Source organism: Homo sapiens, chromosome 9, assembly GCF_000001405.40.
Source record: "Homo sapiens chromosome 9, GRCh38.p14 Primary Assembly".
NCBI lineage: Eukaryota > Metazoa > Chordata > Mammalia > Primates > Hominidae > Homo > Homo sapiens.
Genome location: NC_000009.12, coordinates 21,767,050 through 21,778,208, shown reverse-complemented (window position 1 = coordinate 21,778,208; position 11,159 = coordinate 21,767,050). Strand labels below are relative to the sequence as shown.

The following is an 11,159-nucleotide window of genomic DNA, read 5'->3' as shown; positions in this document are numbered from 1 at the left end:
GCTCCTTTCACACCACCTCAAGCACCTAGCTCCTCAACCTGCTTCATCATCACATACCACCCAAGGATCCTATCCCAAGAAGGAGGATATACTTAGAATTAATTTTCCACCTTTCCTTTAGAGGCGATGGAACTAATCATCATGTTTCATACTCCTTTTGGCCTCAGTCACCATAGAAGTCCAAGCATTCCAGGTCACCACAGGAACTCTCCTCCATATGTTTCTGTATATCCCTTGATCTGACTCAATCTCCCATTCCTTCCAAAACTGCAATCCCTTCCAATGCAGCTGCTAGAATTCAGGGCTTGGGAAGCACAGTCTCTTTTATTTTCCAACTCTTCTTTGAACAACACCTTCACCTTCTTGCTCTAAGCCCTGGCTCACCACCCAACCCAACCCATATCCTGTTTACCTTCAGCCTTTGCAGGGGGTGGTGGTTTTTGCTCCCACACCCTATGCTTCCAGGTCCTGGAGGTGGGGATAGGAATGTTCCTTATTTCTCATTGTTTTTCTTCTTTCAAAAACCCTTCATCTCCTATCTTCCAAGCCATTCCACTTCATGATGGAAGATTTTAGCAGCTGGCTCATTGCATTTCCTTCTACCATGACTCCTGTCATCATATTTAATGACTTCAAAATTTATGTATGTCATTATTTTTCAAATTTGGCTGCACATTTTTATTACCTCATGATGTTTTAAAAATCCTACCTGTGTTCAGTTCATCCCCCAAGCCAAACAGGTACTGATTTAATTTAGTCAAGGTAGGATTTAGCCACTAGATTTTGTTTTGCTCTAAAAAAAAAAAAAAAAAAAAAAACCCCACAACACCTATGATCTCAATATGCAGCAGGGTTCAGCACTACTTACTTAGATCAGTTTCTCAGTAAGCCTTTTCAATTATTTGACCTTCTGACTCCAACATCTCTTTCTTTCCCCAACCCCATCATGTTCACCCTAGTCATACCCTAGAGTTTGTCATTATAAGTAGCCTCCAATATCTAGTTTTTCATCATTCCACTTTCTGATATTCACAGCATCTCTTTCTGACTCCTCTCTTAAGTACAACATCATTCAAGTAATCCATGGACCCACTCCCAGTCTTTGTCCTAATCATCTCCCTCGCTTTTCTTTACCTTTTTCCCTACTCGTCTTAGATTCCATGGTTTGTCACTATAACTCTTCTCTATGTACCCTCAACTCTTTTGTCCTTCTCTCTCTCCATTATATTTGCCTAGCAAAACCCAAACCCTGGTTATATTTAACTCTGCTTAATCTATATCTGCATTCAGGCAGCTAAATGGGATGAGAGAACAACACACACATTTACTTTACATTTTGGCCACAAATCTCTGGTGGGTCCTCAGCACTTCAATAAATTTTTTATAGTAGAATTCTCTGGTCAGTTCTTTGTCCAGACAACTGTTTGATATCTTCCCCCCTTTTTAAACCTCCAACATTCCCTCCTTGTCTTCACTCTCAGCTGATAACCTAGATTTTTATTTCATAAGAAAATAGAAGTAAGCAGAAGAGAACTACTTCCTTTTCCCTTTACCAAATCTACCAACCTCCTTGCTCCACACCCAAGTGTTCCATCTTCTCTTTGGTCACAGACGATAAACAGCTCCTGCAGCCTGGCTTCTCACCCCCTTCCACCTGTGCCAGGGCTTTACTCCTCTAATCATCTTTTTTCTCCTGAACATGACTCTCCCTTCTTACTGTAGATCATTCCCATCAGCTTACAAATAGACCCCCATCTCAGCAAAACAAACCCAATCCTTTCCTAGACTTCTGGTTGCACTCTAGCTCCAGTTGCATTCCTCAACTCTTCTTCATAGCAAGTTTCTTGAGACTTTTCTGTACTCGCTCTCACTTTCTCACTTCTCATCTCTTTAGCCCACTCAAGTTGGGATTTAGTCCTCATCACTCTCCTGAAATTGCTCTGTCAAAATCACCAGCAATCTCCCTGTTGCTAAGAGCAGCAGTTAATTTTCAATCTTCATTTTATGCAGCCTCACAGCAGATTTGGCACAATCATCATCCACCCTGAAGCATTTTCTTCTCGAGCCCTTCTGGATACCACTATCTCCTAGTTGTTGTTCCATCACACAGCTGTTGCATCCTGGTTTTCTCTGCACACTCTACCTTTCTCAATATTAGAGCACTCCAGCTTGATGTTCTTGCTTGGTCCTGCCTTCTTCACTGCCTGTACTCACTCCCTAGACCATTTCATCCAGGCACATGGCCTCACACAGCATCTTCATGCTGATGATAATCCCCCTCCGTCCTTTCTCCTAAGCTCTAGGTTTAAATATCCAATTGCCTAGTAGGTACATTCATTTGTGTATCTAAGAAGCATAACATGTTAAAACCAAAATTTTTTTTTCTTCTCACATCTGCTCTTTATATGGATTCCCCTTGGCTTATCCATCCCCTAAACTGCACAATCAAATGTCTAGGCACTATCCTTTTTCTTTATTTTCTCAAATTTGACTTTTTTCCTTCTCTTTTCCTTCCTTCCTTCCTTCCTTCTTTCCTTCCTTCCTTCCTTCCTTCCTTCCTTCCTTCCTTCCTTCCTTCCTTCCTTCCTTCCTCTCTCTCTCTCTTTCTTTCTTTCCTTCTTTTTTTTCTTAAAGCTCTTACTCTATCACCCAGTCTGGAGTGCAGTGGCATGGTAACGGCCCACCACAGCTTTATCTTCTCGGGCTCAAGCAATCCTCCCACCTCAGACTCCCGAGTAGTTGAGACTACAGGTATGCACCAGCACACGTGGTTATTTTTTTCTATTTTTTGTAGAGATGGGGTGTCTTGCTATGTTGCCTGGGCTGATCTTGAACTCCTGGGCTCAAGCGATCTTCCTGCCTCAGGCTTCGTAAGTGCTGGGATCATAGGCAAGAGCCATGGTGCCTGGCTCACATTTGGCATATCTATCATCAACAAGTCTTGTCACCTCTACTTCAAAAAGTGCCTTGAATTTGTTAATTCTCACTGTCTCCACTTCTATCATTTTGGTCCACACTATTATTATATCTGAGTGTTGTATTAATCTCCTAACATGTCTTCCTATTTCTGTTCTTGCATGCTTTCAATCAATTCTTCACACAGCAGCAGATTGTTTTCAAAATATAAATTTGGTCAATTAACCTGGTTTAAACCGTCCCATAGTTTGCTGTTACACTGAGAACATGGTAAGTCCTTACTAATGCTCACAAGGCTGTTTGTGATCTGGCCCCTGACCCACCTTTCTGATGTCATCTTTACCAGCCCTCCCTTACTCCAAGCTGGCTGAATTTGCTTCCTGCAGTGCACCAAGCTTGCTCTATCTTTTGGGTCTTTGTACTTGATCCTTATACAGCTTATTCCCTTATTTCATAGAAGAGATACCTTCCAATTCCGAGATCTCCCTTATCTAAAGTGAGGCCAAGGCTGCACATTTTATATTCTCTTACTTTCTGATATTTCCTCCATATTACTCATTTCTCTTGCTAGAATGTAAGCCTCCTGAGGTTAGAAATTTTATGTCTTGCTTATAGTAGCATCCCCAATGCTTACCTGAGAGATCCTCCGTACATATTTGTTCAATGAATTAATAAAATGTTATCACTAAAACTGATGTTAATATTCATGAAAAGAGATTACCTTACTGATGTTACCTCATTATTCATTGAAAACAAACATGAAACTATTCATGTGTTCATGTGCCACCTAAAACCATCTTGCCTAATTTTGAATGGCACTCCAGATGCAACACTTTGATTAGCACTATTTTCTATCCTGTGAACATTTCTACCCAGGGTTTGTTGGCCCTGATTGGTTCAATCAGGCATGGGTACCTGGCCAAAGGACAACCAATTTATTATGGTTTGATTATCAACCGGATTTGAAACTGACCAAAACATGCATTATTACCTAGTTAGGCTGAAGCTTGCTTTTGGGTATGGTGGAATACCTAGCAAATGACTATCATTACTGTCTTATTTATAATATTAGAAAACTTAAATTATCTTGAATGTCCAATATAAGAGGACTGGGTAAATACATAGAATGAGATGCTATATGGCCAGTAAAATGATTCGATTAAAGACTTTTGAAAGATATGCGTACTATATACTGTGTATTTTGAGTGAAAAAAATCAGAGAGCACAATTATTTATGCAGTATGACTTTAGTTTTATTAGTTTTTTCTTTTTGTATATATAGTTTCACAAAGAAAAAAAAACCTAAAATTTAAAAGGGCTTCTTTTTTCCTGGATGCTACCAATGAGGACTCTAGGAACATCCCATTGTAGGTGGTTTTATTGCTTCCATATAGTTTTATAAATAATTTCAAATTAATTTAATTAGAATAAAAATTATGTTATTTAGAAACTTTCCATAAAAAGAGCATGCTAAAATTTTATGCATTGTTTAAAACTAATTTATATTCTTGCATTATATGTGCATTGTATATAAAACTATATATAAAGTATTATATTATTATATATGGTTATGCAGTATATATTTATATCAAGTAACAGGTTAGAATGGATTGTATATATTATTTCTACACACACACATGATTTCATAGTTTAGTGAATTATTTGGCAACACTTGAGCTACTACTTCAGTTCAAATTCTGAAGAGTGTTTTATGGTGATTCCTTTAAATAATTGCCAAACATTTGCTTTTTTTCTAAAGAAACTACAATAAAGATAAATAAGTCTAAGTGCAATTATATCAATTTATGAGAATTAAAAAGTTAAAGTCCTATTGTTTAACAGTCAAACTGTGGAGTGATGAGAGCTTCATGGTAATATTATCATTCATTTTATAAATTCAAACATATTCTGGTTAGATTATAATGACCTCCTCTTTAACCTCTAGATACTGCATGCATATAAAGTAGAAAACTCAGCTGTTACACAGTAAGCCTCTAAGAGCAGTTTATTAGAATTCAAATATTAAGGCTGAGGACTGACAATTATGTGGAAGAACAGCCTAAAGATGATGTGTAAGAGCATAATAAACATAAATTTAAAGTTGAGAAGTGAAAGTAATGGGCTGAGTTTGTATTTAATTAGGAAGGCTTTCAGTTTCTCTAAAATCCAGGCTCAGCCATAATTCTTTTGTTCATTTATTTGACAGATATTTATAGAGCATCTGCTGTGCCAACTGCTAAGATTCCAGTGGTGAAAAAGAGAAATAACTCCTACCTTTTTGAAATAGACTGTATGCTAGTCAATAATTACACAATTTATCAGAAAATTATAATTATAATCCATATGAAGACACTGAAGTGGAGTAACATCCAGTCTGAGGTGAGATGTAGAGTCTCAAGGGATCTTTCCTTAGAGAGGAATATTTAAAGCTTCTCAACCCTATTGACCTAAAGCACTCTGGCAGGGGGTGAAATCTCTTTCTTTATAGCCTAGTTGGAAACTGATTGTACAATTAGACACTGACATGCTCAAAATTTCTTACTTCAATTTCCTTTATGCTATAGCACAGAATACTGAGTTGAAGAAGAGGAATGAGGACAAAGTCAGGGACTTGCCAACCAATGAGAAAGTCCCCAATGTCATGGCCCCAAAATGCCATTGATGCCTACTGACTGTTCTAAATAAACAAACAGAAACATTTCTAGGGGGAGATGCTGGGTGAAAGGACAGGGAGAAGGGGAAAGACTAAGGGTTTAGAAGAAAATCAGTTTCCATTGTTTTCAGACCCCTATTACGTGCCAGCAGTATTGCATGTATAATATCTAATATTTGCAAGAATTCTGAAGCACAGATATTGTCGCAATTTAAAGGTGAGGAAACAGGCCAAGAAACCTTGAAGGACTTGCTCAGGGTTACTTAGCAAGTACATTATAGATCTGTGATTAAAATTTAGGCCTTTCAAACTCTATACCTAGCATAATTTATATATTCTTCAGCACTAGTAGCAGAATATATACAAAGGTGAGAAATGAGGAGAATAACTACTGAAGGCCGTGCAGATGTATTATAATTATGCTAAAAATGCAAGAATTGAAAGTGCTAGCAAATAAAACCATCTAATGCGATCTCAATTTGGAACTGCCTAATTTGCTTTATTGCTGGGAACTCATAGCTCTTCCAACTGCAGTTTTTTTCTTCACTCCCCTTTACCTCAGTCCTTCCAGGAATTGGTTCACCAAGAAGCTTAATCTATTCTGTGATATGGGCCACTGTAGATTGACTTTTTGGTCTCAATTCTTCATTGTCCCATGACAGGTTTATCTTATTCCCTCTCTTGCCTTGCTCTCATGTGAGTGAAGTGTATTTTTCCTACTCTTTGACTTTGGGCTTAAACATATAACTTGCTTTGACTATTGGATGTTAGTGAAACAGAGACTAGAAATGTGCCTGAATGGTTCTGCTTGGCCTCCTGGGCTGAAGCATTCCACCATCAGAAGCACTTGCCCTGGATAGCAGGTTCCCCATCAGTCTAGCCTCAGAACAAAAACCTTGGAACAGACTTGAAGTGAACCTGCAGTCAAGAGCCAAGTCCAGCCAACCCACAGCTTGAAAGAGAGCCTCAATTAGCCAAACCATATCAGTTACAGATCCACAAGTGTAAGAATAAATGTTGTTGTAAGATGCTGAGTTTGGGGGATCATTTGTTATGCAGCTATATTGTGGCTCTAGGCAACTTATATAGCCATGATGTCCACATAAAATTACTGGAGACATACAAGAAGAAAAATACTTTATTATTTCTGAGTCATCCAAGACAGGAAAGCAATGAAGGGCTGTGACTAAGAGATTTGAATAGATGGCCTGAGCACATACGAAAGGACTGTTTCTGAATGCTTATTTGCTGGACTAGGGGAGCTTCAGAGTAAGTGGTGGAGGGGAGCCCTGCCAGTGTGAGAGCTCTTTCCCAGCCAGACTCTTAAGCTTAGCCCTAGGAGACAACCAGAAGCTGGCTGTCAGTAGAAATAAGTTAAGGAAGAAAGGATTAAGGCAATGGTTGTCTTGGCTCTCTGCTCTGCTGCCTTACAAATAAGATTAGTAAATTGCTAAACATAGTTTTTGTGTAACTAGTTGACTTCATTTCATTTCCCTACAGAATAGTGTATTCAGCCAAATAGGGCTTAGGCTTCATTGTATTTATCAGTATATACTTTGCTTATGAAGTAAGCTAGAGATTAAAGTCACTGGAACAAAGCACTAAAAATGAAAGTGCTTGAGGCAATTTTAGTCTCAGTCTAGATCATTGCCTGGTGAAGGATTTATCACAGAAATAACTAATTTAAAAATATGCAGGTGAGGTTTTACTGTAATATTTAATAAAAACACACATGGGGCTTATCATGAAGTATGCTAGTGTGATGTGTCTGTCACCCCTAAGGAATCTGGCATCAACATTAAAGCTCTGTTATATGATGCCAAAAACACTAATATGAAGTAGTTTACTTGAAGAGATATAACTACCTAATTTATAGAGTACACATCAGAAAACAGCACTTTAGCTCAAAAACATCCACATTTTATTTCCAGTTTTAAGTTATTTTCTGATAGACTTAAACCATTTTCTGATGGACTTCGTCACTTGGGTAACTCTCTTTTGTTGACTTCTTTAGTTTTTGTACTTCTTACATGGAAAATTGTACTAGAATTGTGAGGTTTTTTTTTTTTTGGCCACTTGAGCTACATGGTCTTAATCCATTCTTGCACTGCTATAAAGAAATACCTGAGTCTGGGCAACTTATAAAGAAAAGCAGTTTAATTAGCTCATGGTTCTGCAGGTTGCACAGGAAACACAGTGGCTTCTGCTTGGCTTCTGGGGAGGTCTCTGGAAACAATCATGATGGAAGGTGAAGGGGAAGCAGGCACGTCTTACATGGCTGGAGCAGGAGGAAGAGAGAGAGGGAGTAAGTACTACACACTTTTTCGGGGGTGGGAAGATGGAGTCTCACTCAGTTGCCCAGGCTGGAATGCAGTGGCACAATCTCCACTAACTGTGGAGGCTGTGAGGCTGGCTCACTGCAGCCTCCACCTCCTGGGTTCAAGCGATTCTCCTGTCTCAGCCTCCTGAGTAGCTGGAATTACAGGTGAGCACCACCATGCCCGGCTAATTTTTGTATTTTTAGTAGAGATGGGGTTTCACCATGTTGGCCGGGCTAGTCTCGAACTCCTACCCTCAAGTGATCCCCAACCATGGCCTCCCAAAGTTCTGGGATTTCAGGCGTGAGCCACCTTGCCCAGCCAACACACTTTTATTTTTTTTAATTTTTTTAATTTTTCTTTTTTGAGATGGAGTCTTGCTGTGTTGCCTAGGCTGGAGTGCAGTGGCACAATCTTGGCACACGGCAACCTCTGCCTCCTGGGTTCAAGCATGTGCCACTGTGCCTGGCTAATTTTTGTGTTTGTAGTAGAGATGGGGTTTCAACATTCTTGAACTCCTGACCTCGAGTGACCCACCTGCCTCGGCCTCCCAAAGTGCTGGGATTACAGGCGTGAGCCACCACGCTTGGCCTGCCAACACACTTTTAAACAACCAGATCTCACAAGTACTCACTCACAAGAACAGCACCCAAGGTGCTAAACTATTCATGAAGGATCAACCCCACGATCAAATCACCTCTCACCAGGCCCCTCCTCCAACACTGGGGATTACAATTCGACATGAGATATGGGTAAGGACAAATATCCAAACCACATCATATGTGATATTTATCTCATGGTTGTGAAATAAGGGATATTTTGCAGAAAAATTCCTTTATTATGAGCAGGTTAAGTTTTTAGATTTTAAGGTCGTATGCTGTATGACAATATATGCAGTCAACCAGTGCCATACATCCATTTGGAAAGATGAGGATAGAAGAAATAATTTCATCTTAAAAAGAAAAACAGGAACTTTGTCAGATTGCCTTCTTCCTAGTCCAAACTATGAGACTGCCTTTAAACAAAGTATTTGTTTATTGAGGTAATTAACTCCATCTAAGGCTCAAAATTTTACATCTAATATTCAGGACTATTATAGTACTTGCTTGTATTAGTTACCTACTACTGCTGTAACAGATGATCATAAACTGAGTGGCTTGAAACAACACACATTTATCTTTCAGTTTTGCATGTCAGAAACCTGATGTGGGTCTAAGTGGACTAAAATCAAGGTGTTGGCTGGACTGTCTTCCTTCTGGAGGGTCCAGAGGAAAATCTGTTTCCTTGCCTTTTCCAGCTTCTGGAGGCTGCCTAATTCTTCAGCTTGTGGCTTCCTTCTATCTTCAAATTTAGCAATAGCCAGCCGAGTCCTTCTCACATTGTGTTACTGTGACACTGACTATTCTGCCTCTCTCTTCCACATTTAAGAAACCTTCTGATTATATTGGGTCCATCCACATAATCCAGGATAATCTCGCCATTTTAAGACCAACTGATTAGCAATCTTACCTTCATCTGTTACCCTGTTACCCTGATCCCTAATTCCCCTTTGCCATATAACGTAACAGATTCACAGGTTTGGGGTTTAGAATTTGGACATCTTTTGGAGGCCATTATTCTGACTACCACACTCCCCTTGTATGGTTGTTATAAAAATTAAAAATGAGATAATGCATATATAAAACTGGCTACAGCAAGTATTCAGTAAGTGTTAGTTAATATTATTGTTGCTTTGTAAAGCCAGAGTTTCAGGTGTGTTACAGCAGATTGAATGCTCACCAATCACAAATACTACAACCCTTCACACTTAGATAAATATTCAAGGAGACTGGATTTTGAAAACTCCAAAATCTTACTAAGACTCTGCTGCTAGGCATTTGGAAATCTCAATATATGCCTAGTGCATAAAGGATGGGATCAGGTAATTGGGAAATGCTATGATTTGCAAAACATGGCCTTCATTGATAGGACAGTCATCTAGAAACAAATAGTTGTACGTTTTTCAGTGCCCAAAAGGATCAAGAAATAAAATGGTACTCAATCTAAGTTGGTGTTTGATAGCCACAGGAGACAGAGAAATTTCCCAAGTGATTAATGTACTTCCAAGTGGCCTGCTTGCTTTACATCAGGGCCTCTCCCAGTAGATAAAGAAGGTAGACTCCACTCACAGTAAAACATATCTTGATGGCTGGGATCCAGCCAAAGGCAACCCCAGACCCAACTGGGTAAACAGAATACACAATAGGAAACTAAAGTACAGGTTCAATACTGAACCATAGAGCAAATAAGCCAGATTCTGGGCTAAGAAAGCATCCTGGTGGATTCGTTCTGTATCTTGACCAAGGCTTCCAGAGAGAGTTGCCTGCAGGACCTCAGCATCTGTTGCCCTGTGCCACTTCAGATTTCTGCTCTCCCCATTCTGGTGCAGCATTCCTTGACCACCCCAGCTACAATTCAAGCCAGCCTCAATCCAGCTTGTGTCACTACTTTGGAAGGGGTAAGTCATAAACTGACAGCATCTACATGGGGCTAATTCTGAAGACTCATGAAATACAAGAGCTGCGGAGTCATGGCTTCTTTCACCTAGATTTTAAAAGATTTCTCAGACAGCCTTGGTGCTCAGACAGAGACTTGTCATGAGGCAGAGCCACTACAGAAAGTTCCACTAGGGCAATACCTCCTGGAGTCACGGAGGTCAGGTTGCTGTTGAGACTCCACAACTGTAGAGCCACCATCATGGAACTCCAGCCTGGGAGGGCTGCAGACAGGAGAATCCAACATGCAAAAGCTGCTGTGTGGGCTGTCCCCAGCATAGTCATAGGGGTGGGACTGCCCAAGGCCTTGGAAGCCCAACTCCTACCCGAGTGTGCACAAAGGACATTGAGTCAAAAAAGATGATTCTACTGCTTTAAGATTCAACATTGCTTACCCTGTTGGGTTTTTTACTTACCTGGGATCAGTTTCTCATTTCTTCTTGCCTACTTCTTCCTTTTGTAATGAAATGGCTATCCTATGCCTATCTCACCATTATGTTTTGCAATTATATAGCTTATTTTTATTTCACAGGCTCACAGCAGTAGAGGAATTTGCCTCAGGATGAATTGTGCCTTGAGTCTCACATATACCTGATTTAGACTCTGGACTTTTTCTGAGTTGATGCTAGAGCACATTAAGACTTTGAGGTTATTGGGATGGAATAAACATATTTTGCATGTGAGAAGAACATGAATTTTAAGGGCCAGGGGCTAAATGCTGTGGTTTGAATGTATCCC

General features: G+C 39.7%; 1 long non-coding RNA gene across 1 annotated transcript in view; it reads left to right on the top strand.

The window, feature by feature from the left end:
• The first annotated feature begins 10,221 nt into the window (after positions 1 to 10,221).
• LOC107987026 (uncharacterized) overlaps positions 10,222 to 11,159 on the top strand; it is a 69,939-nt gene continuing 69,001 nt past the window's right edge. Inside the window, exon 1 of the long non-coding RNA XR_001746563.3 lies at positions 10,222 to 10,384. This is a non-coding gene — a long non-coding RNA (uncharacterized LOC107987026). The remainder of the gene's footprint in view (positions 10,385 to 11,159) is intronic.